This window comes from Homo sapiens, chromosome 11 (assembly GCF_000001405.40).
Source record: "Homo sapiens chromosome 11, GRCh38.p14 Primary Assembly".
Taxonomy (NCBI): Eukaryota; Metazoa; Chordata; class Mammalia; order Primates; family Hominidae; genus Homo; species Homo sapiens.
This window is the reverse complement of record NC_000011.10, coordinates 61614722-61641926: the sequence shown is the minus strand read 5'-3', so window position 1 is coordinate 61641926 and position 27205 is coordinate 61614722. Positions and strand designations below refer to the sequence as shown.

Sequence of the window (27205 nt, the reverse complement as noted above, 5' to 3'; positions counted from 1 at the left end):
ACTTCGATGATGCAGCTTGGTGGATATAGCTTTATCCAGATCCCTGGTTTACCTTTGCTGAGGGAGGTGAGGGGACAAGTGTGGCCCATCCCTCATGGCTGCTCAGGGTCTACCTTGTTGTGCTCCTTTGGAACTCCCTGGAGTTGGTTTCCACATCCCTTCTCCTCTGGATTTTCCTTCCTGCAGGCTCGAGAGGCAGGGTCTGGGCTTTCTGATGCCTCTCTCAGCCCTACCACCTGTGTTAACTCGGTCGCTTCTCTTGTCTAAGAGAATGCCAGAGCCTTAAAGCCATCTATCTACCAATGAATAGATTTTAAACATGTGGTCCAGCCATACAATGGAATATTATTCAGCAGTTAACAGGAATGAAGTCCTGATGCATACTATGACATGGATGAAGTTTGACAATATTACGCCAAGGGGAAGAATACAAAAGAGCAAAAATGAAACACAAAAAGGCCAGATATTGTATGATTCCATTTATATGAAATGCCCGCAATAGGTGAATCCGTAGAGATAGAAAGTAGGTTAGGGTTGCCAAGGGCTAGGGGGAGGGGAAATGGGAAGCTCATCACTACAGGGTTGCTTTTTTATTTTTCTTTTTTCTTCTTCTTCTTTTTTTTTGTTTGAGACGGAATCTCAGTCTGTCACCCAGGCTGGAGTGCAGTGGTGCGATCTCGGCTCACTGCAACCTCCACCTCCCGGGTTCAAGAGATTCTCCTGCCTCAGCCTCCTGAGTAGCTGGGATTACAGGTGCGTGCCACCAGGCCTCGCTAATTGTTTTGTATTTTTAGTAGAGATGGGGTTTCTCCATGTTAGCCAGGATGGTCTCAATCTCCTGACCTCGTGATCCACCCGCCTCGGTCTCCCAAAGTGCTGGGATTACAGGCGTGAGCCACCGTGCCCGGCCACTACAGGGTTGCTTTATGGGGGGATGGAATGTTCTGGAATCTGATGGTAATGGTTGTACGACCTTGTGAATATGCTAATCCCCCACTGAATTTTTACTTCCAAGGGGTCAATTTTATCTAATAAATAGCAAAAGGCAACTGAGTAGACCTAGGGCTGGGGGGACATGAGGAGCCACCACTGGTTTGTCACCTAGCAGAATAAAGTTTAATCTCTGTACCATAGCCTGTGAGGCCCTTTGCAAACCTTGCTGCTCATTAGAATCACCTGGGAAGCTTAAAAAAATCCCAGTGTCCAGGATGCACCCAGACCAAGGAAACTTAATGAATCCAATGGGCATCCAGAGCTGGGAACTAGCCCCCACATGGTCTTAAAACAAAAACAATAAAACAAATAAAACTAAACTAAATATCTGACCTGAATGGGGAGGACCCCAAGGCCCAGAGAGGTGAGTGCATTTGCTTAGTAAGTCATGGGCTGCCCCATTGTTACTGGAAAGGGGTCCTGATCCAGACCTCAAGAGAGGCTTTTTCGGCCTCATGCAAGAAAGGACTCGGGGTGAGTCCATACAGTAAAGTAAAGGCAAGTTTATTAAGAAAGTAAACAAATAAAGAATGGTTACTCCATAGGCAGAGGGCTGCTGGTTGGCTAGTGTTTTGGTTATTTCTTGCTTATATGCTAAACAAGCAGTGAGTTATTCATGAGTTTTCCCAGAAAGGGGTGGGCAATTCCTGGAACTGAGGGTTCCTCCCACTTTTAGACCATATAGGGTAAATTCCTAATGTTGCCATGGCATTTGTAAATTGTGATGGCGCTGGTAGGAGTGTCTTTTAGTATGCTAATGCATTATAATTAGCATATAGTGAGCAGTGAGGCTGACCAGAGGTCACTTTCGTCGCCATCTTGGTTTTGGTGGGATTTGGCTGGCTTCTGTACTGCCTCTTGTTTTATCAGCAAGGTCTTTGTGACCTGTACCGTGTGCCGACCTAGCTCATCCTGTGACTAAGAATGCCTCACCTCCTGGGAATGAAGCCCAGTGGGTCTCAGCCTCATTTTACCCAGCCTCTATTCAAGATGGAGTTGCTCTGGTTCAAACATCTCTGACGCTGCTAGGCAGACTCATTGCTTTGTGCACCAAAGCTTGGGCTCTGGAGCCATGTGGGCCTGGGTTCAAATTCCGAATCTACCACTTTAGCCTAATCGCCTAAACCTCTCTGGGCATCAGCTTCCTCATACAGGCTAATAGTACCTGCTCCTCAGGGATCAGATGAGGTACTACATGCAAAGGGCTTCTCCTAGTGTCTGGCACATCATGATCCTTGTTTTAAGCATTTTATTAGCAATTTCTACTGCTTGGAGGGGAGCAAGGGAGCATGACTCTGACCCAATTTACCTGCCTCCACCACCTTTTTGAGAGAGGGCCTCACTCTGTCATGCAGGCTGGAGTTCAGTGACGGGATCCTAGCTCACTGTAGCCTCAGAACTCCTGGGCTCAGGCAATTCTCCCGCCTCAGCCTCCTATAGGTGGGTGCCACCACACCCAGCTAATTTTTTAATTTTAATTTTTTATAGAGATGGGGGTCTCACTATGTTGCCCAGGCTGGTCTTGAACTCCTGGGATCAATCCATCTTCCTACCTTGGCCTCCCAAAGTGCTGGGATTGCAGGTATAAGCCACTGCACTTGGCCTCAATTTACCTGTCCTTTTATACCTTTAATAATCATAAGAATTTTTGAGCTCTGGACTATTCCAGGTACTTTACAGGGTACCACGCCCATAAGGCCAATATGGGGAGCAAGGCATGGGAAAATGGGTGTCTTGCTCTAGGTCCCCTGATTGAACCCTGAGTTCTCTTCTATATGGATGTATACAGGGGTGGGAGGTAGATATAGGGCGGCCCAGCCTCTGTAACTCTCCCGGTGGTAGATTCTCTGGGATGGGAATCACTTCCTTTCTTTGTCCATAACACCAAGCATAAATCGTGGCACCTTTAAAGGAGCTCAAGCAGCCGGGTGCGGTGGCTCACGCCTGTAATCCCAGCACTTTGGGAGGCCGAGGCGAGTGGATCACTTGAGGCCAGGAGTTTGAGACCAGCCTGGCCAACATGGCAAAAACCCGTCTCTACTAAAAATACAAAAGTTAGCCGGGCGTGGCGGCGCACATCTGTAATCCCAGCTACTCAGGAGGCTGAGGCAGGAGAATCGCTTGAACTCTGGAGGCGGAGGTTGCGGTGAGCTGAGATTGTGCCACTGCACTCCAGCCTGGGTGAGAGTGAGATCCTGTCTCAAGAAATAAAAATAAAATAAAAAGGAGCTCAAGCAATGTTTGCAGAGCTCTCCCAGGGCTACATGCAGAGCAGCCCCGATGCTGGCGAGAGGTCACACGCTGAGAGCTGCAGTCCTCCGTGTGGCCACGAGGGGTCTCCACGCTCCACCGAATGGCTGGAGGGTCTCTCCTAAGGCTACGCGCCAGGCCATGGCTAACTCGGAGCCCCTGGACACTGGGCACGAGGGTGACAGGGTGGGACGCCAGGCCCTGGCCTCCCAGGGTGCTATCCGTCCTCCCTCCTGTCCTCCCCTGGGGTCAGGTTAGAGATCACCATGTGGTCCTGCCTCAGGCTGTCATGGCCTGTCAGGGGCTGGGGGCCTGCTTCATGTGGGCTGGATGCCTACTGTGTGCTCCTTCTGCCTGCTCTGAGGCTGTCGTAGCCTGTCAGGGGCTGGGGGCTTCACGCTGGCTGAACACCTACTGTGTGCTCCTTCTGCCTGCTCTGAGGCTGTCGTGGACTGTCAGGGGCTGGGAGCTTCACGCTGGTTGAACACCTACTGTGTGCTCTTTCTGCCTACTCCTTTTCTTTTTCTTTTTCTTTTTTCTTTTTTTTTTTTTTTTTTGAGACGGAGTCTGGCTCAGTCACCCAGGCTGGAGTGCAGTGGCGCGATCTCGGCTCACTACAAGCTCTGCCTCCTGGGTTCATGCCATTCTCCTGCCTGAGCCTCCCGAGCAGCTGGGACTACAGATGCCCGCCACCACGCCCGGCTAATTTTTTGTATTTTTAGTACAGATGGGGTTTCACAGTGCTAGCCAGGATGGTCTCGATCTCCTGACCTCGTGGTCCGCCCGCCTCAGCCTCCCAAAGTGCTGGGATTACAGGCGTGAGCCACCGTGCCCGGCGCCTGCTGGTTTTCTTTAAACCCCACTGTCACAACCGTGGGAGCAAGTGTTGTTTTATTTTTTTTTTCTTTTCTTTCTTTCTCTTTCTTTCTTTCTTTGTTTCTTTCTTTCTTCTTTTTTTCTTTTCTTTTTTTTTTTTTAAAGAAGTAAGCCTTTATTTCCTTGTTTTGCAAATAAAGCTGGCTAAGTTGGTTGCTTTTTGGTGATTAGTCAAAGAGACCCAATCCCATATCCTCGTCTGACTCCTCCCTCCGACTCTTCCTTGGCTTCATCCTTAGCTGGGGCTGCAGCAGCAGCAGCAGGAGCAGCTGTGGTGGCAGCAGCCACAGGGGCTGCAGCCACAAAGGCAGATGGATCAGCCAAGAAGGCCTTGACCTTTTCAGCAAGCAGGAAGTTGTCATCAGTCTCCACAGACAAGGCCAGGACTCGTTTGTACCCGTCGATGATAGAATGGGGCACTGATGCAACAGTTGGGTAGTGGATCTGCGGACAGACACCGGCAACATTGCGGACACCCTCCAGGAAGCGAGAATACAGAGTTTCCTCTGTGATGTCAAGCACTTCAGGGTTGTAGATGCTGCCGTTGTCGAACACCTGCTGGATGACCAGCCCAGAGGAGAAGGGGGAGATGTTGAGCATGGTCAGCAGCGTGGCTTCACTGGCTCCCACTTTGTCTCCCGTCTTGATCAGCTGCGCATCACTCAGGATTTCAATGGCGCCCCTGGAGATTTTAGTGATGATACCTAAAGCCTGGAAAAAGGAGGTCTTCTCGGGGTCCAGACCAGTATTCTGGGCTGGCACAGTGACTTCACATGGGGTAATGGCACCAGCACGGGTGGCAGCTGGCACCTTATTGGCCAGCAGCAGGTCCCTGATCTCAGTGAGGTCCTCCTTGGTGAACACAAAGCCCACATTCTCCCAGATGCGAGGCAGCAGTTTCTCCAGAGCTGGGCTGTTTTCCAGGTGCCCTCGGATGGCCTTGCGCGTCATGGCGTTCTTGCCCATCAGCACCACGGCCTTGCCGCAGAGGGACATGCGGATCTGCTGCATCTGCTTGGAGTTCACATTGTCTGCTCCCACGATGAAACATTTCAGATAATCATCCAATAGCTGGATGATCTTAAGGAAGTAGTTGGGTTTCCAGGTCACCCTGTCTTCCCTGGGCATCACGGTGGTGCGTCAGGGATTGCCACACAGGTTTAAAGACGATGTCACTTCCATGAGGATGCCTGGCAAAAGGCAGGCATTGTTTTCTACGCTGCCTGAAGAGTGAAGAGAGGTGAGGTTGGTGGGGTTGGGACTCCAACTCAATTCTGCCTCGTTTCAAAGCCTGTGTTCCTTTGGCTTCTCTCTACCCCTCTTAGCACCCCCAGGGCATCTCAGGCCTGGCGTCTGGACAAGCCGACTGGGCCTGAACCTCACACACCCAGTTGCTCACACAATCACACCCACACACACTGACACACACATGGGCCCCACACTCCATCCACACCTGGAACCTCAGAGCTCAGTAGGGATTTGATACTCAGTCCTTCAAACCAGCTTCTCATCGAGGGGGTGGGCGGAGAGGAGTTATAAGAGCAATTGCTGTAATCCAATCGTCTCTGCTTTTCTTGTTTTCTTCTCTCTGAATACACTTTGCATTAAGGGCTTGTCTTCTTGGTTCCCATGAGAACGCTGTGCTTTTTCTTAAATGAAGGTTCGTTGATCGTTTTTTCCTGTTATTACAAAAGCAATTTGTGCCACTGCAAAAAAGCACAGAGAAGCCAAGAGAACAAAAACTCCTCCCTCCCCTCCTCCAGGGACAGCCCAGGCTGACAGGTGTGGCACTGTCCTCCCCACACCCCTCCTCCCCAGCACACCCTCCTCCTGCCATGGAGCCCCGGCGTCCTCATCAGGCCTAAGCTGCTTCTTCCAGATGGGGCTCCCAGGCTGGGAGTCAGAGGCTGGATCTTTGTTCTGCCTCATCACTGGGTCCCACATGTCCTTGGCAGGTCCTCACCATTTTGGGGTGGGAAGGGGATGATCTCAAAGGGTCTTCTGCCCTCACACTCAAGGATCCTGTTCTCTTATTCCAGACATGAATCTGGGGCTGGGCCAAGCAGCAGCTATTAGGAGTTCCTAGGTAACAAGGGGTTCTCCTAGAATAATCTGGAGACCAGGGGAGGTATGGAACCCAAAGCCTCACTCATCGCCAGCATTGAACAGAGAGGCAACCCTCCCAAGGACAGAGAGCTGAGCCCATTATAAAGATTCTGGTGTCCTGTGTCACAGTCCCAGCCAGCTTCATGGTTGTGCAGCCTTTGCAGCTGCAGAGGGCCCTACACTCCAAAGGGCTAGAGCTTGATTTAATGCTCTGCTGTCAACACCTTGAAATTCTTCATGATGTGTGAGCAAGGGCCCCACATGTTCATTTTGCACTGGGCTCTGCAAAGTATGTAGCTGTCCCTGTTCCTAATAATAATAATACCTGTTACTGACATACAGCTTGCTGTATAGCCAGCACTGCATATTTTTCCTATATACTGTATAATTCACCTGTCCCTCACAGAAGCCCGGTGTAAATTGCCTCTCTTAGATTTGGCCAGCCCAGGTGATAATGTGAACTGGGTGCTAGGCACTTTAGATATGTGACTCTCTGGAGGCTTTCAGCAGTACCAGAAGCCATTGTAAGCCAGGCACCATGGCTCATGCCTGTGATCACAGCACTTTGGGAGGCTGAGGCAGGTGGATCACCTGAGGTCAGGAATTCAAGACCAGCCCTGGCCAACATGGGGAAACCCTGTCTCTATTAAAAATACAAAAATTAGCTGGGCGTGGTGGCGGGTACCTGTAATCCCAGCTACTCGGGAGGCTGAGGCAGGAGAATCACTTGAACCCAGGAGGCGGAGGTTGCAGTGAGCCGAGATTGTACCACTGCACTATAGCCTGGGCAACAGAGCAAGACTCTGCCTCAAAAAAAAAATTATAGATGGGGCACATTATAGATGAGGCATGAAGTCTGGGGAGGTTAACTCCCCTGCAGTTGCAGAGCTAGTGAGGAGCCCACAGACCCTCCCCTCCCTGCCCAGCTGGCCAAGGGCCACCCCAGGGGCTCTGCAGCCCTCATCCTGCCCTAGCCACCATCCCAGCTGTGGTGGGCACCTGGCAGTGCCTAGGGGGGTGAGAAGCTCCACCCACACTGTCAGTTCCCATTTCCACCACCTCCTGATCTGCCAGCAGTTGCTGCACTTCACCACTTCCTGTGCCCAGGTGTGCAATTGGCTTCCTACATGGGGCACGGAGCCGTGGGGCCAAGAGGTGTCAGTCTCCATTTCTCCCCACTGTGCTGAGCTCCCAAGCATTCTTTTTTTTTTTTTTTTTTTTTTTTTTTTTTTTTGAGGTGGATTCTCGCTCTGTCACCCAGGCCGGAGTGTAGTGGCACAATCTTCGGCTCACTGCCACCTCTGCCTCCTGAGTTCAAGTGATTCTCCTGCCTCAGCCTCCCGAGTAGCTGGGACTACAGGCACATGCCACCATGCCTGGCTAATTTTTGTATTTTTAGTAGAGATGGGGTTTCACTATATTGGCCAGGCAGGTCTCGAACTCCTAACCTCATGATCTGCCTGCCTCAGCCTCCCAAAGTGTTGGGATTACAGGCGTGAGCCACTGTGCCTGGCCTGCTCCTGAGCATTCTATGCTACAGGTGTGGCTCCAGGAACTCTGGTTCATCAAAGCTGGTTTCATTTATTTATTTATTGAGACAGGGTCTCATTCTGTCGCGCAGTGCAGTAGCACCATCACGGCTTACTGCAGCCTCAACCACCCAGACTCAGGCCGTCCTCCCACCTCAGCCTCCCAAGTAGCTGGGACCACAGGTACGCATCACTACGCCTGGCTAATTTTTGTATTTTTTGTAGAGACGAGGTCTTGCTACGTTGCCCATACTGATCTTGAACTCCTAGACTCAAAGGATCATCCTGCCTCAGCCTCCCACAGGGTGGGGGTACTCAGCCCCCAATGCTGGTTATTGCTGAGGTAGCCCAGACAGAGATGGTTGATGCCAGAGTGAGCCCAGGCAGCTGGAATTGGAGTGGACAGAATAGCACTAGGAGACCCTCACACACCCAGGCTGACTTGCTCAGCATCTCTGTCTCAGCTCCCAAATCTGTAACATGGGGTAAAGCAGCGTTCCCCAAACTTTTTGGCATCAGGGACCTGTATAAGGAGTGCATAAGGCCAGGAGCGATGGCTCACGCCTGTAATCTCAGCACTTTGGGAGGCTGAGGTGGGTGGATCACCTGAGGTCAGGAGTTTGAGACCAGCCTGACCAACATAGAGAAACACCATCTCTACTAAAAAAAACACAAAATTAGCCAGACGTGGTGGTGAGTGCCTGTAATCCCAGCTTCTCGGGAGGCTGAGGCAGGAGAATTACTTGAACCCAAGAAACGGAGGTTGTGGTGAGCCAAGAACGCACCATTGCACTCCAGCCTGGGCAACAGGAGCGAAACTCCATCTCAAAAAAAAAAAAAAAAAAAAAGTGCATAATCTAGATCCCTTACATGCGCAGTTCACAGTAGGGTTCGTGCCCCTATGAGAATCTAATGCTGCTGCTGATCTAACAGGAGGCGGCACTCAAGCAGTAATGAGAGTGATGGGGAGAGGCTGTAAATACAGATGAAGCTTCTCTCGCTTGCCCTCCGCTCACCCCATGCCGTGTGGCTCAGTTCCTTACAGGCCACAGACCAGTACCAGTCTGCAACCTGGGAGCTGGGGACCCCTGGGATAAAGAAACCAGTCCAGCAGTTAAGAATTTGAGGTTTGGGAATACAACACCCTGAGTTCAAGTCCCAGGCCCAGCACTTAACAGCCATATGACCTTGCGCAGGTTGCAAAACTGAACTTCAGTGTTCTCCATAAAAACACAGCAAAAATGGAGGCATTCTAGTTAAGAACTCAGGCCCGGCAGACCGACAAGAGTTCAAATCCCACCTTGAGCACTTATTAATTATGGTAGCTTGTACAAGTTATTTCACTTTTCTGAGCCTTGGTTTCCTTGTCTGCCAAATGCAGATAATCCCTGCAGCATCCTCATGGGGTTTTGTGAGGACCAAATGGCCTGGTGCCTGTGGAGTCCTTTTCTCAGTCCCTGGCACTTAGTAAGTGCCCAATAAGCCGTTACAACAAGTGCAAACGGATGGGATTGCTGGGACGTCATGAGAGCAAGTGCCCTGCCAGAAGGGTCTGTGTCAGGACAAGCCATGGAATAAGAAAGCCAAGCACAATAGCCAGGTGGCCCTGGGAATTGGTGGCTGAGGCCTGGGAGGGCTGCTTATTGAGTGAGGTCCAGGGACTAAGCCACCAAGAGGCCATTGACAGGTCCATGGGGACAGCTTCATTTAATGGGAACTGTGGCAGTGGGATGAGAGAGACAAAACCAGGCTCACATCAGCCTGGGCTGCCTCCCAGCCTCTCAGCTACCTCTCCTGCCGGGCTCTGGGGTCAGGCTTCCCTCCCCCAACTCCCGCCAGATGCCACTCTGTAAACCCTGAAGCTGTGCTCCCACGCTGCACTGCACCGCGCACATGAATTCCCCGAGGAATTTCTTAATGCGCTGATTCAGATTCAACCGTGGGGGTGGCCCGAGACCCTGCATTTCTAATCAGCTCCAAGGAATGCGAGACCACGCTTTGAGTAGCAGCATCTAAAACATGATATAAATGTAGGTCATGAAAATTAATAATAATGTGGGGTGTGGAGTTACTACCGGATCTGACTAGCAGACTTTGAGAGAGAGCCTGTCTAGGAGAAAATTCTCCCCAGAGGTCAAAAGGAACCCCCACCCCACGTTCTGGGGGTGCTAGGATCTGATTTTGCTCCTAATAGCAAAGAGACAGGCAGAGGGTACCTTTCAGCTTGAGCCACACGGATGGCGGTTCCCAAACTGCAGACCACACACCAGCTGCATCAGAAGTACTTGAGGATTCGTTTTTTGGGTTTTTTTTTTTTTTGGTTTGTTTGTTTGTTTTTTGAGATGGAGTCTCAGTCTGTCACCCAGGCTGGAGTGCAGTGGCACAATCTTGGCTCACTGGAACCTCTGCGCCCTGCTAATTTTTGTATTTTTAGTAGAGACGGGGTTTAACCATGTTGGCCAGGCTGGTCTTGAACTCCTAACCTCAAGTGATCCGCCTGCCTCGGCCTCCCAAAGTGCTGGGATTACAGGCAGGAGCCACTGTGATGACTGAATTTTTTAAAATTACCGATTCTGAGTCACAAAAAGACAGATCCTGTAGACTCCCTTATATGAAGTATCTAAAGCAGTCAAATCCATAGAAACAGAAGTAGAATGCTGGTTGCCAGGGGCTGGCTGGGAGGGAGAATGGAAAATTGTTGTTTAATGGGTATAGAGTTTCAGATTTCCAAGATGAAAAAGTTCTGGATGTCTGCTTTACAATGGCGTGAATATACTTAACAATACTGAACTATCCACTTAAAGATGGCTAAGATGATAAATTTTATGTTATATGTTTTTTCTTTACCATAATGATAGACAGAGTCTTGCTCTGTCACCCAGGCTGGAGTCCAGTGACCCAGTGGCTCTCAACTCACTGCAGCCTCCGTCTCCCAGGTTCAAGCCTCAGCCTCCCGAGTAGCTGGGATTACAGGCGCGTGCCACCACACCCGGCTAATTTTTGTATTTTTAGTAGAGACAGGGTTTCACCATTTTAGCCAGGCTGGTCTTGAACTCCGGGCCTCAGGTGATCCACCCGCCTCAGTCTCCCAAAGTGCTGGATTACAGGCATGAGCCACCATGCCCGGCCTCGTAATGATAATCAAAAAAAAAAAAAAAGATCCTGGGCCAGGCACGGTGGCTCACACCTGTGATCCCAGCACTTTGGGAGTCTGAGGCAAGTGAATCACCAGGTCAGGAGTTCAAGAAAAACCTGGCCAACACGGCAAAATCCCATCTCTACAAAAAATACAAAAAGTTAGCTGGGCGTAGTGGCAGATAACTGTAATCCCAGCTACTCGGGAGGCTGAGGCAGGAGAATCACTTGAACCCAGGAGGTGGAGGTTGCAGTGAGCCGAGATCACGTCACTGCACTCCAGGCTGGGGGACAGAGTGAGACTCCATCTAAACAAAACAAAACAAAACAAAACAAAACAAAAAAACAGATTCTGGCTCTAGCCCCTGAGATCCCGTTTAAGGGCATCTTGAGTAGACCCCAGAAACCTATTTTTTTAAAATCTGCCCGGGGAATTTGGGTGCACAGCCAGGCTTGGGGACCACTGGCCAGGGGGAAGCTTTCCTCCAAATATCTCTGGAATCCTTCCACCTCTCCCACCTCCACCTCCGTCTCCACGGCTGAGACTCCATTCTGGACAATGACAGAAGCCTCCTGTACCCTCTCCCTGCCTCCGTCCTCTCCCTGCCTCTGTCCTCTCCCTGCCTTCGTCTGCCACGCGGCTGCCCCGGTGATCTTTCAAAGCACAAATTTAATCCTGTTGCATAGCTCCTTTGAAACTGTTCCATGGCCTCCCGTTGCCCTCGGTACAAAATAGAAAAAAGCACAACCTTCTCAGCAGAGTGGAGTCAGGGATTCAGCTGTGTGCACAGAGTATTACAGCAGGAAGCCTTTGGAGCCGCAGAGGTCTGTGCAAGGGCCCCGGGAGCACTGGGGAACACAGATGAATTCTGCCAGGAGGAGAGAGGTGGTGGGAAGCCTTCTCAGAGAAAGAGGCGTTGAGCTGGGCCTTGCAAGTGAGCTGGTGTTTGTCAGGAGAGTGGGGTGAAGGCAAAAGGCGGTGGCAGCAGGGGGATTCCAGGCAAGGGGGATAGCATCTGCAAAGCCAAGGAGGTGTTGGGGGCTATGTCCCCCTCAGTGCGGGCAGGGGCTAGGTGAGCTGGGAGAAGAGGGAAAGGTGAGGGTGGGAAGAGGCGGTGAGGAAAGAGCAGAGAGACTGTGAAAGTCCAGTTCAGCTGGGAAGCAGGGAGGGGGTGAGCGTCTCCATCGCCTCCCAGAGCCATCTCGCCCAGGGGCAGGTTACCAGCTTCAGGCCCTTGTCCTCACTCCCCACCCCCTGCCCCACCCCCCACTGCTTGGTGGGGGCCTTGGGCAAGGCCATCCGGTCGGGAAGGGGGACATGTTCCTTCTCTGCTCCCCCAGGGGCCCTATGGCTCCCACTAATTGTTCACAGTTCATACCCTTGGCTCTCCGCCCCCCTCCCCCAGGGCCTGCCTGGGCGCTTCTCCTTTGCCCTCACCCTTGTGTGTGTGTGTGTGTGTTGTTGTGTGAGTCCTGAAGGTCATGTGGTCACCCAGTCTCTGTCTTTGTCTGTCTAAAAGCTAGTATGGCACAGTGTGCATGTGTTTATGAACACGTCCCTCCCACCCGAGGGTTCCTAGCCTCAGAGTCAAGTCCCCCTGGGCCTTTCAAGGCTGTAAGAGGTGATTCTAGGGGCTACAGCAATAGAGACCCAGCCAGAGGGAGCAGGAGGGCTCCAGCCCACAATTCCAGGAGCCCCACGGCCAGCCACCTCCGGAGGAACACACGGCCTACGTGAAAATAGCCCGCGGCACAGCCACAGCACCTGGCGTGGCTGAATTCCTCTCCTGCCCCGCTCAATGCCCAGCACCAGCCCGACACTGCCGTAGAGGAACTCGGGAGCTGCTTGCATTTCAGAAAGGGCCCCTTCACCACAGTTAGAGAGCAAATAAATGGGTCCTCTGGGGCTGGGGCTGGGGCTGGGATTCCCTCTGTAGCCCCCTTCCCCACTGTGGAGGCCCCTTTCCTCCACACACCCTCACCCCTGCAATTCCTTACCTGGAGCAGAAACAAGGTTCTACCCAGGCCATGGGGCCTGGCCATGCAGGTCAGCCCTGGGTCCTGGTGGAGGACCCAAAGTCTCCCTGCTGAGGACCAACGTCCGGTGGCCCTAGCTGGGGTGACATCACACAAGGGGCTCGCACAAGGCTTCTGTCTTCCAGGAAGGAGATGGGAAGAGAGATCTCCCTGCAAAGGCTGGAAAAGAAATCACGTCCCAGAATTGTTGGCAGAAGGTTAATTGGATGCATTTGTAAGCTTGTTCCTGGGACAGGCATGTTAATAGCACTAAAACATCTGAAAACTTCCAGAGCTACACGGAGGAGTTAATAGGCCTGGAGAGTCCAAGGTTACATTGAGGCACCTCCCAGCAGTGGAAAGAGCAGTGGACCAGGAGCCTGAGAGCCTGAACCCCTGGCTCCTCACCACATCTCACTGTGGTCCCCAGGCAAGCCCTGGCCTCTCTAGACCTGGAAAACATTAGTGTGGAAGGCGGGTCGCCTGGGTCGTCCGAAGGAAGCCTCACTGTGGTCTTGTGTGGTGATGTTATCATTATTTCCGTTTTGTGGAAGAGGAAACTGAGATTCCTCAAATGAGGTGCAATTTGCCACTGCTGGTGCTGGGGTCAGTACTGGAGCCTGACTGCATGCCAAGGGCTAAAATCACAGGGCTGGACCAAGGGCCAGCCAGAATAGACGTTCCCTTGGTGTCCACTGGGAGGCGCCCTAGACTGCTTCTCCTAGTTGGCACCAGCACCTGAATCCCTCAGCCAGAGTGGTTTCCCCTGAGTGATCTCTGGACAAGGTGGGACTGGGGGCTGCCAGCTCCTGGGGCAAGGTCAGGAAGCTTCCTGGTCCTCCCTCCCCATCCTAGCCACCTCCATGAAGGAGCCTCCTGCTCTCACCTTCCAAGGGCAAGGGAGGGAAGAGTGAGGTTTCAAACCTTCCCTCCTCAGGCCCCTGGGGAGCCCATGTATCAGATTGGAGTCAGCTATAAATGTCAGAGGCTCAGAGAGGGTTAGTCACTTGCCCCAGGTCACATAGTCACGTCCGTCTGATTCTGAAAACCTAAACTTGGTCCTGATTCAGGCGAGGCTCACGGCAGATGTGGTGGGATTCCGTCGGTCACATGGCCCACAGCAGGCAAGAAGGTGCTGGTCAGCTGGGCCTGCAAGTCCCACTGGTGGCAAAAGGGCTGAGTCTCGTAGAGGGGGTTCCTACAGTCACTTGAGGGTCCAGGGCTGCGTGCAGGTAGTCAGGGCCAGGCATGGGAGCTCGTGAAAGGGCAGGAGGAGGCATTCAGCCAGTGGATGTCCTTGGCATCAGGGTCCGTGTCTGTATCTGAAAGTGGGCATGTAAGTGGGGGATGGGGTGGAGGCAGAGGGCTGCGGCTCAGGCCCAAGACCCCAGGTCATGCTCGCTCAGAATTCAAGTTTGTCAGCTTGTTAGAAGAATGAGGATGGTGACAGCCGGGGATCTGGGGAGGAAGGAGGCCTTTGGAGATGGGAGTTGGGGAGGCTGTGATTGGGGGATGTTGAGCAATGGCTTGAGGAAGTCGAAGGATCAACCTTCCCGAGTATTCCGAGTTGGTCTGGAGCTGACGGGGAGTGGCTGGGCTGGGTGAGGGGAGGTGACAGTGACATTGAGTTTGGGGACACAGTGCTCATCTCTCCCTGCTGGGCTTTCTGGAAGGTGGAGGACAACAGGAGGGAAGCCGAGCATCCCAGGACAGAGCTTTGCAAAGTTACAGCTGGTTCCTGCCCTCTATACTCAACTCTAGCAACTGTGACTCTCTCCTAGAGCAAGCCTGACCCTACTGAGACCCCTACCAACATAGAGACCACCTAACCCAACCCGTTACTCAGGTCACCTCACCACAGCAGAGGCAGGAGCAGGCCCAGGGCTGGAGAGAAGCCCATCCCCAGGCCCCAGGGCTCACAGCAAAGCCAAGGAGACAAGCAGCCACCAGGTGCACCGGATTAAGGCTGTCCAGGTAGGGGGCTCCATTTCCCCGTAGACAGAGGTAGCCAAGGGGACTATAGGGCTAGAGGAGGCATCCTGGAAAATCCCAGCCCTTCCCCAGCAGGTCACAGAACCGGCTCTCCCAGCTGAGGCCCTTCCCTCCCAGCAACATGTCCAGGGGCACCTGACTTGAACTATAAATAGAGGATGACGGAAGGCTCCGGAAGCCCAAGGGAGGGCAGGAGAAAGGAATTCTGATTCTCCCCCAGCGAGGCCCTGCAAGGCTGCACTGACAGAGCAATCTCTTCGAGGTTGGATAGGAGTGCCCCTGGCATTGGAGGTCCAGGAGGGCCATTCAGGCAGAAGGAACAGTCTGGGGAAGCAAGGAATGGAGCAGGCAGGTGGCTCTGAGAGGCTGGACACAGGCTGCAAGGGACTGCGGCAGTTCCTGAGACCCAGTGGCCAAGGGCCCTGAATGTCAGGCTAAGGGCTTTGTTCTGGAGACCTGAGTCTTGGTCTCAGGGCCGTTCTGGTTTTGTGGTGAGGAGTTAAGAGTAACACACAATGGGGGGAGGGGGGAGGGATAGCATCGGGAGATATACCTAATGCTAGATGACGAGTTAGTGGGTGCAGCGCACCAGCATGGCACATGTATACATATGTAACTAACCTGCACAATGTGCACATGTACCCTAAAACTTAAAGTATAATAAAAAAAAAAAAGAGTAACACACAAGGCCGGGTGCAATGGCTCACGCCTTATAATCCCAGCACTTGGGGAGGTTGAGGCAGGTGGTCACTTGAGGTCAGGGGTTCGAGACCAGCCTGGCTAACATGGTGAAACCCTGTCTTTACTAAAAATACAAAAATTAGCTGGGCGTGGTGGTGCACACCTCTAATCCCAGCTACTCGGGAGGCTGAGGCAAAAGAATCGCTTGAACCTGGGAGGCGGAGGTTGCAGTGAGCTGAGATTGTGCCACTGAACTCCAGCCTGGGCAACAGAGCAAGATCCCATCTCAAAAAAAAAAAGAGTAACACACAAGAACATGTAACATACAAGAACAAGGTCACCTGGAGCAGAGTACCAGAAAGTACATGGCCATCTTTCCCCGTGGAATGGAGGAATACCATGGTGTGCCAGAGACTATAACTATTCCCCAACATCTGTTCTGTCTTCTTTGCCACGGAACCCCTGATTTTTGCTGGGCAAACAACCCCCTGAAATACAAGCTACATTTCCCAGCCTCCCTTACAGCCAGGTATGGCCATGTGTATAAGTTGTAAGAAGAAGTGCCACTCAGAGGCAGCAGGTTGCACCCTGTTACCTCTTCTCCCTTTCTGCTGGAAAGGAATATGCATGTGATTGCTCGAGCAGGAGCAGCTATCTTGGATCATGAGGTAGAAGCCCCATGTTAAGGATGACCAAGCCACAAGAAGGAAGTGATCTGGGTTTCTGATGTTTGTGGAGCTGCCACACCAGCCCTGGACCAGAACCTCCAAATATTGTTTACTCGAGAGAAAAATAAACTTCTATATTATAGTTTACCACACAGTTTCTTAAGTTTTCCTTCAGATGAACATAACCTAAGCACATACAGGAAAGGAATTAGCCTCGAAAGAAGAACCTCAGAATTTTATACGTCTTTTTTTTTTTTTTTTTTTTTTTGAGATGGAGTCTTGCTCTGTCGCCCAGGCTGGAGTACAGTGGCACGATCTCAGCTCTCTCCAACCTCTGCCTCCTGGGTTCAACTGATTCTCCTGCCTCAGCCTCCTGAGCAGCTGGGACTACAGGCACCCACCACCACGCCCGGCTAATTTTTTGTATTTTTAGTAGAGACAGGGTTTCACCATGTTAGCCAGGCTGGTGTCAATTTCCTGACCTCGTGATCCGCCCACCTCGGCCTCCCAAAGTGCTCGGATTACAGGCGTGAGCCACTGCGCCTGGCCTTACCTTTTAAGTATTAAGAGGTATGCTCTGATTACATTCCACATATCGTCTCTCATGAACTTGCTGCAGAACCTTCCTTCCAGGTGTAGGGGTGGAAAAGGCATGATACCTCTTCTCATCCATCATAAGGGTCACGGCTGACACTCCTATACCAAAAGACAGAGAGAAGTTAACAAGAGAAGAGCATAACAAATGTATTTAATCAAAGTTTTACATGACATGGGGGCCTTTGGAAATGAAGACCCAGGCCAGGCGTGGTGGCTCATGCCTATAACCCCAACACTTTACGAGGCCGAGGTGGGTGGATCACTTGAGGTCAGGAGTTCAAGATCAGCCTGGCCAACATGGTGAAACTCTGTCTCTACTAAAAATACAAAAAATTACCTGGGCATGGTGGTGCACACCTGTAGTTCCAGCTACTCGAGAGGCTTGAGACATTAGAATTGCTTGAACTCAGGAGGTGGAGGTTGCAGTGAGCTGAGATCATGCCACTGCACTTCATTCAGCCTGGGCAACAGAGCAAGACTGTGTCTCAAAACAAACAAACCAAAAAAAAGAAAAAGGAAAAGAAATGAATACCCAGACTGTACAGTACCTTTTTATGCAAAGGTTCGATGAAGAATGGACAGTCATATAGGAATGTGATTGGACCAGCTGGGCACAGTGGCTCACACCTGTAATCCCAGCACTTTGGGAGGCCAAGGTGGGTGGATTACTTGAGATCAGGAGTTCGAGACCAGCCTGGCCAACATGGTCAAACCCCATCTCTACTAAAAATATAAAAATTATCTGTACTTGGTGGTGGGCACCTGTAATCCTAGCTATTTGAGAGGCTGAGGCACAAAAATCACTTGAACCCAGGAGTTGGAGGTTGTAGTGAGCCGAGATCTCACCACTGCACTCCAGCCTGGGCAACAGAGTGAAACTCCATCTAAAGAAAAAAGTGATTGGAGGCCGGGCGCGGTGGCTCACACTTGTAATCCCAGCACTTTGGGAGGCCGAGGCAGACGGATCACGAGGTCAGGGGATCGAGACCACGGTGCAACCCCACCTCTACTAAAAATACAAAAAATTAGCTAGGTGCGGTGGTGAGCACCTGTAGTCCCAGCTACTCGGAGAGGCTGAGGCAGGAGAATGGCGTGAACCCGGGAGGCGGAGCTTGCAGTGAGCCGAGATTGCGCCACTGCACTCCAGCCTGGGTGACAGAGCGAGACTCCGTCTCAAAAAAAAAAAAAAAGTGATTGGAACAAAAGAGTATGACCTAAAGGTAATAGGCCAAGGGAAGGAACCCAGCGAGGCCTGTGTGTGTACATTCTTCTTGGCCTGTCTGCCATATTCCTTATTTCTGGGTATGGAGCAGGACCCCGCTGGAGCGAGGGTCTTACGGCCTACTATCAGACCAAGTGGAGTCAGAGAATTTCCTTATGGCCAGCTGCTACACAGAAAAGCAGGGGAAGGTAAGAGTAATAGTTCTATTTTCTTTTCTTCTTCTTTTTTTTTTTTTCTTGAAACAGAATCTCTGTCACCCAGTCTGGAGTGAAATGGCACAATATCAGCTCACTGCAAACTTCACCTCCTGGGTTCAAGCGATTCTCCTACCTCAGCCTCCCAAGTAGCTGGGACTGCAGGCGTGCGCCACCATGCCTGGCTAATTTTTGTATTTTTAGTAGAGACGGAGCTTCACCATGTTAGCCAGGCTGGTCTCAAACTCCTGACCTCACGTCAGGCTGGATCTCAGCTCACTGCAACCTCTGCCTCCTGGGTTCAAGAGATTCTCCTGCTTCAGCCTCCTGAGTAGCTGGGACTACAGGCACACGCCACCACATCTGGCTAAGTTTTGTATTTTTAGTAGACACAGATTTCACTGTGGCCAGGCTGGTCTCAAACTCCTGACCTCACGTCATCCACCCGCCTCGGCTTCCCAAAGTACCGGGATTACAGGCATGAGCCACCACATCCGGCTCCCAATATTTCTACTTTCTATGACCTACCTTACGGAAGAGGAATTCTCATTTCTATGGCTGCCTTGGGGGAGAAAAGTGGGGACAGGTCAGAGAGAGAGAGAGATACTGCTTCTGAGGCTGCTTCTGAGACCTTCCAGTCTCCTTTAGCTCAAAGTACTCAGCATGCCACAGCACCATACTTTGGAATATCATTATCTCAGCCCCAATACGGGAAGATGCTTGAAAATGCACTGTGTTTGTTGCAGATCACAAGCAACATCCTATGAGAACGTGATTCCCATGCCAGGCCCCCCATCCAGACAGGCCTGGTTTTCTGGACCCCATGACTCAGGGCCCCAAGAGCCATGGGCTCACGGAAGCCCCAGAAACTTTATTTGACCCCTTTGGCATTCCTGGGTCGCTTCTTTGTCTCCTTTCCCAAAACACATGGTTGTGTGGTCTTATCTTGGCCACGATAACTACACAAGAACAAGAAGCTGCCATTCACTGAAGACACTACCATCTGCCCCCACAAGATCAGCACCCTAGGAGTGGACTGAACATGTGCCCTCTCCCCTTGGCTGAGACAGAAACAGAGGAGATGTGGCTCTTGGCTAAGGATTTAATGGAGCCCTTTCTGGGAACAGCCTTCTCTGTGCAGAACTGAGGGAGCAGTTGTTAGGGGCCCAAGCACCACTCTGCATGGTCATGCCACTTACTGGATCCAGGGCCAGCAGTGTTGAAAACAGGAGGTGGCTGGGAAATGTTCCCCTCTACCTTATGGCTCAGGCTCTGCTGTTCTGTCTCTGAGTCTTCTGTTTGCCTTCAGGAGCGGCTTGTGGTGTTCCCAGGGTATGGGAGTCCTGCCTGCGGAGGGAGATCTGCAGGTGAGCTAGGAGGGGCCGCCCAGATCCCTGACACTGCAAAGGCCAAGCCCACACCCTACCCCCCCATGCTGGGGCTGGAATGCCTTGGTCATTCCTCCTTACCCCGGTTGCTGGTAAGGTCCCTCCTGGTCCTGCCCCATACCTGGTGGGACTCACTTTCCAACACCCTGGGGGGAGGGGACATTCACACGGGCAAGGCAGGAAAAGGCGGCAAGTTTGAGGTTAAGAGAGCATGGGACAAATGAATGATTGGACCCAGAACCGCCTGGGTTTGATCTTGACTCCACCACCAGCTCTGGGAGCTGCCCAGTGACTTGACCTCTCTGAGCCTCAGTTTCCTCATCTGGATAACAAGAAAATTCATAATACCTTCCTCCTAGGGCTGTTATGAGTATTAAACGAATTAACACATGTCAAAGTTCAGGATGGTGAGTGGCGCATAAAACCTGCTCAGAGAAGATAGCTGTTAGTATTAGTATCAGTGTTAGTATTATTGTTAAAGTATTTCTTTTTTTTTTTTTTTTTTGAGATGGAGTCTCGCTCTGTCGCCCAGGCTGGAGTGCAGTGGCACAATCTCAGCTTACTACAGCCTCTGCCTCCCGGGTAGCTGGGATTACAGGTGCCCACCACCACATCTGGCTAATTTTTTTGTATTTTTAGTAGAGATAGGGTTTCATCATGTTGGCTAGGCTGGTCTTGAACTCCTAACCTCAGGTGATCCGCCTGTCTTGGCCTCCCAAAGTGCAGGGATTACAGGCATGAGCCACTGTGCCTGGATTGTTACAGTATTTCAAGAGATAAACTCAAACTCAGTGAGCCCCCTCAGGGAAGAGAACTAGTGAGGAATTAACTTCTGAAATGCCACCCCAGACATGCTCTCTCTAGCACACACCTTGAAGTATTACTCCGCACCCCTGTAAAGTTGTCTAATCACTCCAGCCCACCGGGAAGAGGGTCTCATCCTGTTTAGGGAGGTGGAGGAGTGTAGTGGTTTTGAGTGCAGACTTTGGGGCCAGACTGCCTGAGTCTGAATCTGAGCTCTGCACTGTTGGAAGGTTCCTTAACCCTCTGTTTCTTTGTTTCCTCACTTGTGGCATGGGAAGACGCAAGCACCTGCCTGGGAGGTTTAAGTGAGATCATGTGTGCCTGGTGAGCCCTGATGACAGCCTGGCATTGGTGGCACTGTGGACTAGGGGCTGGGTGCGGGAAGGTTGGGGCTGCCACAGGCCACCCCCGCTGGTGTCCCTAAGGGGTTGTGCCCTGGAACTCCAGTGTGACCAAGAGGGGGAGGGTGGTAAAGCCACATCATAACTTCCTCGTAGGCTCCTCTCTCCGAAGAGCCCTCGAAGCAGAGGGGCCCGAGTGGCTGCCTCAGGTGACCAGAGAGGTTCAGGCTCTGTCCAGCTCCCTCCAAGCTGGAGGCTGCTGACTGTGCAGGGCACAGGGTGGGGCACGCTGGTCCCCATTCGGTCATCTCATTCAAGCCTCCCTCTACCTACCTCCAGGAGGCTGGCATTTACTGCCCCATTCTGCAGACGAGGGACTAAGGCCCAGAGACCCAGACATGGCGGTATCAATTCCAGGCCTGACTGATCCTGGAGCGGCCCCATTCCTCACCAGGACATCCCTGGCATCCCCACTCTGGGATGAAGCCACTGTCTCCCATCTCAGGTACAGAGCCAGCCATGCACACTTTCCTTCCTTCCAGGTCTAATTTTCCATCCCAGCTAACTTTTCTGTTCCCACTTGCTGGCTCTCCCTTTCTCTATGTATCTGAAAGCTCACCCCTGTAATCCCAGCACTTTGGGAGGCCGAGGCGGGCAGATCACTTGAGGTCAGGAGTTCAAGACCAGCCTGGCCAACATGGCAAAACCCTGTCTCTACTGAAAATACAAAAATTAGCTGGACATGGTGGCATGCCTGTAATCCCAGCTTCTGGGGAGGCTGAGGTGGGAGGATTGCTTGAACCTGGGAGGTGGAGGTTGCAGTGAGCCAAGCTCGTGCCACTGTACTCCAGCCTGGGCAACAGAGCGAGACTCCATCTCAAAAAAAAAAAAAAAGATCAGTGAGTGATTTTTCATGCCTATGGACTCCGTCATGGAACCTCAGAGACTCACAGAGGTAAAAAGCAAGCCCTCCCTTCTAGAACTTGTCCAGGAGCTGGGGAGGAGGTTATGGTCTGGAATAGACATTCTGCAGCCCGGGAGGTTGGAGAGATCTGCCCTGGAGACAGCCAGGAGGGCTTCCTGGAGGTGGTGGACCTTGAGACGGGTTTGGAAGAGGTGGGGCCTTTTGGCCAAAACAATTCATGAAAGGCAACGAATGCCTGCAGACCTGGGATCAGATCTCAGCCTTGCTGCCACCTAGCTGGGTAACCTTGGTCCTGGTAATTAACCTGTCTTTGCCTCAATGTCCCCATCTGGAACAGAGGCATCAAGTCATTGATGAAGGAGTGTGACTTCCTGGCATGAGCACTGAGTCCAGAGGCTTGGGTCCCCACTGCACTAACAGGTCAAGCAACTTTGATAATGGATGTGGCTGAGCTGATTGGTGCTTGCTTGGTGCTGCATGCTTTACATGTATTATCTCATTTAAATGTCACAGTCACCTTACTTGAGAGGTCTCCATTTCTCAGATGAGGAAGCATGTCCAGAGAAGTCTGGTGACTTCCCCAAGGTCACACAGTTGGCATGTGTCAGAGAGGGTGTCTGTCAGATTCTCGAGCTCATGCCCCTAACATTCTGGACACTTTGACCGACCCTCCCTCTCAGGCTTCACCATCATTAAAAAGGGCAGGGGGTGGGCAGGTGACATTCTGCTCCATCACAGCTCACAGCCCAGCTGCCTGCTGCAGCAGGAAGGGTCCCTGCTGGAGCCCAGTGCCCTCGCCCGGCCTTTCAGCAACTTCCCTGAGGCCTCCACCCCCAGGATGGTGAGAAGTCGTGCCTGGGGGCTCTTTTCCTGCCTTTGAGAGGGTGGGGCCTTGGGGAGGGAGGAGCTGGGTCCCCAGTGCCCAGGTCTGCTGGCTAAATTTAGGTGCTGGGGCATAGAAAGAACAAGGGTAATTAAGGGGTGTGGTGTCACTTTCCAGCCGCCTCTCACATCCCCTGAGAAGTCACACGCCATTTGGAAAGGAGCAAGGAGGCGTGGGTGATAGAGGGGAGGAGAGGGGAGGAATGATGGACAGTTGGAGCCGGAGGTGGGGGAAACCTACAGCTCCTCCACAGACCTGATGGCTGCCTGAATCACAGTGAGACAATTTTCAGCCAAACACCCCAAGGGCTTCCTTCAATTAACACCATTCATAAATGGAAAGTCTGCCCTGAAAGTAGTGACCCCTGCCATTGGAAATGCTCTGCGCAAAAGGAAATCTAGCAAGCATCGATCAGGCACAAGATGCAACAGGATTTACACGTATGTTCTCAGCAAGCCCTTGCGACAACGCTATAAGGAAGGTGTTATCATTCCCATTTTACAAAGGAGGAAACTGAAGAGTTAGCCTCCCAGGTTGCACAGCTGAGACTTGGGGGAGCCAGGATCTGAACCAGGCAGGCTGGCTCCGGAGCCCGTGTGCTTAGCTGCAGGGTACAGCTAACTCTGGCCCACTGCAACATGGTCGGCTATCACTCTGCGATCAGAGAAGGATTATAAAGAAGGTTTAAAGAAGGCTGTGCTGAAGAGATGAGAAGAGAAGTCATTGTAGGTGGCAGACACTGCTTCTGTAAAGACTAAAAGGTAATTCTGCCCACCTCAAAGTGCACAGTCTGATGTCAAAGCAAGCACAAGGCTACTGTGTTGGAGCCTTCACAATTGTTGCTTTATCCCTCTATCAAAACGAGACCTGAAGCCTGAGCATGGTGGCTTATGCCTGTAATCCCAGCACTTTGGGAGGCTGGGGCGGGTGGATCACTTCAGGTCAGGAGTTTGAGACCAGCCAACATGGTAAAACCCCATCTCTACTAAAAATACAAAAATTAAGGCAAGGCGCCATGGGCCACGCCTGTAATCCCAACACTTTCGGAGGCTGAGGTGGGTGAATCACCGAGGTCAGGAGTTCCAAACCAGCCTGGCCAACATGGTGAAACCTCATCTCTACTAAAAATACAAAAATTATCTGGGCACGATGGTGTGTACCTGTAGTCCCAGCTACTTGGGAGGCTGAGGCAGGAGAATCGTTTGAATTCCAGAGGCGGAGGTTGCAGTGAGTTGAGATGGCACCACTGCACTCCAGCATGGGTGACAGAACAAGACTCCGTCTCCAAAAACAAACAAACAAACAAAAAACAAAAATCATCAGGTCATGGTGGCAGGCATCTCTGATACTAGCTACTCAGGAGGCTGAGGTAGGAGAATCGCTTGAACCCTGGAGGTGGAGGTTGCAGTGAGCCAAGATTGTGCCACTGCATTCCAGCCTAGCCAACAGATACCCTGTCTCAAAAAAAAAAAAAAAAAGAAAACACCCAGACCTGAATCACCCCATTAAAAATGGGCAAAGGATTTGAATAGGCATTTATCCAAAGCAGATATACAAATGGCCCATAAGCACACAAGAGATGCTCAGCATCATTAGTCATGGGGGAAATGCAAATCAACATCACAATGAGATACCCCTTCCCACCACTAGGATGGGCTACAATAAAAAAGAAAGACAATAACAAGTGCTGGAAAGGATGCGAAGAAATTGGAACCCTTGTGCACTGTGCTGGGAACGCACAGCAGTGCAGTAGAAAACAATCTGGCAGTTCCTCAAAAAGTTAAACATGGGCTGGGTGCGGTGGCTCACGCCTGTAATCCCAGCACTTTGGGAGGCCGAGGCGGGCGGATCACGAGGTCAGGAGATCGAGACCATCTGGCTAACACAGTGAAACCCCGTCTGTACTAAAAATACAAAAAATTAGCCGGGCGTGGTGGCGGGCACCTGTAGTCCCAGCTACTTGGGAGGCTGAGGCAGGAGAATGGCATGAACCTGGGAGGCGGAGCTTGCAGTAAGCCGAGATAGCGCCACTGCACTCCAGCCTGGGCAACAGAGTGAGACTCCATCTCAAAAAAAAAAAGTTAAACATGAATTACCATATGATCCAGCAGTTCCACTCTTAGGTATATACCTAAGATATCTGAAAACATAAGCCCACAGAAAATAGTGCTCCTATGAATCTGAATGTTCATAGGCTGGATCTGGGCTCACTGCAACCTCTGCCTCCTGGGTTCAAGAGATTCTCCTGCTTCAGCCTCCTGAGCAGCTGGGACTACAAGCATGTGCCACCACACCTGGCTAATTTTTGTATTTTTAGTAGACACGGGTTTCACCATGTTGGTCAGGCTGGTCTCCAACTCCTGACCTCAGGTGATCCACCCGCCTTGGCCTCCCAAAGTGCTGGGATTACAGGCATGAACCACTGCCCCCGGCAAAATGGAAACAAGTTAAATGTCCATCAACTGATGGATATATCCATACAGTGCAATATTACTTGGCAATAAAAAGGAATGAAGTACTGATACATGCTACAAGATGAACGAACCTTAAAAGCCTTATTCTAAGTGAAAGAAGCCAGACACATTTGATATAATTCCATTGATATGAAATGTCCAGAATCAACAAATTCATAGGAACAGAAAGGAAATGAGTAATTTTCAGGGCTTGGGTGTGGGAGGGAATGGGGAGTGACTGCTATTGGGTGCGGGGTTTCTTTTGGGGGTGATGTAAATGTTCTGAAATAGATACTAGTGATGAATGCATGACTTTGTGAATATGTTAAAAACCACTGAAGCATATACTTCAGAAGGGGGAGCTAAGGCTCCCATAAATTACATGTGAATTATATATACATATATATCAATAAAGCTGTTATTAAAAAAACTCCCAGACTTGTCTCTAATATTTGCAAGAACACAAATGAAGACCCACATACCATATGCCTAAATATTTCAAAATCAAGCGAACAAGCTGTTAAATAAAATATGTTCTCTTCTCTTACCTTGACAAATATACATTCATAGTGGCACAGTTGAAAAGCATGTGTAAAGCTCTGGTTTTTATATGCTTGAAAGCTGGTGTGTTTGGGTATTCTGTTGAAGGGCCGGCTGTGTTTAGACAAGTGATCAAATAAAGACATACATAATTCACAAATTCTTATCGTTTTAATCCATAAAAATGTTCAGGCCTTTATTTCACCAAAATTGCTAATTTGTGTTTTAGTGACAATACCCATCCAAAAAGATTAAAGAAATAAAATATAGTTTTTGTCCAAAAGGAAAATTATAGTAAAGGTAAAATTTTAAATGCTTTTTAAAAAGGTATTTTTTTCTAAAATATCCAAAATTATTTATTGAAATTAAAAGGTAAAATACAAATTATAATGAGTGTAACTGTTTTTTGAGAGAGAGTCTTGCTCTGTCACTGAGGCTGGAGTGCAATGGTGTGATCTTTGCTCACTGCAACCTCCACCTCCCAGGCTCAAGCAATTCTCACGCCTCAGCCTCCCAAGTAGCTAGGATTACAGGCACATGCCACCGTGCCCAGATAATTTTTGTAGTTTTTGCAAAGACAGGGTTTCACCATGTTAGCCAGGCTGGTCTTGAACTCCTGGCCTCAAGTTATTTGCCCGCCTTGGCCTCCCAAAGTGCGGGATTACAAGTGTGAGCCACTGCACCCAGCCTAGTGTAACATTTTAAATTAAATCTGGGGCTGGGCATGGTGGCTCACACCTATAATCCCAGTGCTTTGGGAGGCCAAGGTGGGAGGTTTGCTTGAGGTCAGGCATTCTAGACTGCTTGGGCCACATAGCAAGACCTTATCTCCACAAAAAGTTTAAAAATTAGGCAGACATGGTGTCGCACACTTGTGATCCCAGCTACTCAGGAGGCTGAGGTGGGAGAATCACTTAAGCCCAAGAATTCAAGGCTGCAGCGACCCATGATCGTGCCACTACACTCTAGCCTGGGCTACAGAGTGAGACCTTATCTCTAAAAAAAAATAATAATTTTAAAAATATATTAAATCTGAATTTTTATTAATCTTTTGAAATTGTAATAACATTTTATTAAACATTTTTAGAAAAATGACATATTAGCAATTCCAGTGTTTAACACTATACTGATTTGTTTTCACACTGCTAATAAAGACATACCCAAGATTGGGCAATTTACAAAACAAAGAGGTTTATTGGACTTACAGTTCCATGTGGCTGGGGAGGCCTCACAATCATGGCAGAAGGTGAAAGACACGTCTTACATGGCGGTAGACAAGACAAGAGAGAGAGAATGAGAGCAAGTGAAATGGGTTTCCCCTTATGAAACCATCAGATCTCGTGAGACTTACTCATTACCACGAGAGCAGTATGGGAGAAACCATCCACATGATTCAATTCTCTCCCACCGGGTTCTTCCCACAACACGTGGGAATTATGGGAATACAATTCAAGATGAGATTTGGGTAGGAACACAGCCAAACCACATCAAACACCCATCTAGTTCCTACTGTAAATAATCAGTATCACACTTCATGCATGTTATATCTAAATTTATATATATAAATATCAGAGGAAATGAACAGTTTAAACATTGCAAAAGTTCCTCAGCT

The 27205-nt window shown here is 50.6% G+C and overlaps 1 pseudogene across 1 annotated transcript, besides 7 other annotated features; it reads right to left on the bottom strand.

Annotated features, from left to right (window-relative positions):
• Positions 686-1211: an enhancer, noted in NCBI's record as "H3K27ac hESC enhancer chr11:61408188-61408713 (GRCh37/hg19 assembly coordinates)". NCBI's record gives its function as "activates a minimal SCP1, AML or CMV promoter by ChIP-STARR-seq in naive H9 embryonic stem cells {active_cell/tissue: H9 hESC(naive)}" and the evidence as "EXISTENCE:reporter gene assay evidence [ECO:0000049][PMID:30033119]".
• Positions 2265-2792: an enhancer, noted in NCBI's record as "H3K27ac hESC enhancer chr11:61406607-61407134 (GRCh37/hg19 assembly coordinates)". NCBI's record gives its function as "activates a minimal SCP1, AML or CMV promoter by ChIP-STARR-seq in primed H9 embryonic stem cells {active_cell/tissue: H9 hESC(primed)}" and the evidence as "EXISTENCE:reporter gene assay evidence [ECO:0000049][PMID:30033119]".
• Positions 2478-26891, bottom strand: RPLP0P2 (ribosomal protein lateral stalk subunit P0 pseudogene 2; annotated as a pseudogene). Its single transcript, NR_002775.2, has 5 exons — positions 26799-26891; positions 16800-16942; positions 12888-13085; positions 5573-5798; positions 2478-5342 (listed from the first exon to the last, which is right to left on the bottom strand). The product of NR_002775.2 is annotated as a ribosomal protein lateral stalk subunit P0 pseudogene 2 (transcript).
• Positions 2832-3332: an enhancer, noted in NCBI's record as "H3K4me1 hESC enhancer chr11:61406067-61406567 (GRCh37/hg19 assembly coordinates)". NCBI's record gives its function as "activates a minimal SCP1, AML or CMV promoter by ChIP-STARR-seq in primed H9 embryonic stem cells {active_cell/tissue: H9 hESC(primed)}" and the evidence as "EXISTENCE:reporter gene assay evidence [ECO:0000049][PMID:30033119]".
• Positions 12303-13284: an enhancer, noted in NCBI's record as "H3K27ac-H3K4me1 hESC enhancer chr11:61396115-61397096 (GRCh37/hg19 assembly coordinates)". NCBI's record gives its function as "activates a minimal SCP1, AML or CMV promoter by ChIP-STARR-seq in primed H9 embryonic stem cells {active_cell/tissue: H9 hESC(primed)}" and the evidence as "EXISTENCE:reporter gene assay evidence [ECO:0000049][PMID:30033119]".
• Positions 13476-13770: a silencer, noted in NCBI's record as "tiled region #3465; K562 Repressive non-DNase unmatched - State 12:CtcfO". NCBI's record gives its function as "represses a minimal TATA promoter and a strong SV40 promoter by Sharpr-MPRA in K562 cells {active_cell/tissue: K562}" and the evidence as "EXISTENCE:reporter gene assay evidence [ECO:0000049][PMID:27701403]".
• Positions 14640-15200: an enhancer, noted in NCBI's record as "H3K27ac-H3K4me1 hESC enhancer chr11:61394199-61394759 (GRCh37/hg19 assembly coordinates)". NCBI's record gives its function as "activates a minimal SCP1, AML or CMV promoter by ChIP-STARR-seq in naive and primed H9 embryonic stem cells {active_cell/tissue: H9 hESC(naive and primed)}" and the evidence as "EXISTENCE:reporter gene assay evidence [ECO:0000049][PMID:30033119]".
• Positions 15201-15763: an enhancer, noted in NCBI's record as "H3K27ac-H3K4me1 hESC enhancer chr11:61393636-61394198 (GRCh37/hg19 assembly coordinates)". NCBI's record gives its function as "activates a minimal SCP1, AML or CMV promoter by ChIP-STARR-seq in naive and primed H9 embryonic stem cells {active_cell/tissue: H9 hESC(naive and primed)}" and the evidence as "EXISTENCE:reporter gene assay evidence [ECO:0000049][PMID:30033119]".
• Positions 26892-27205: the final 314 nt, after the last annotated feature.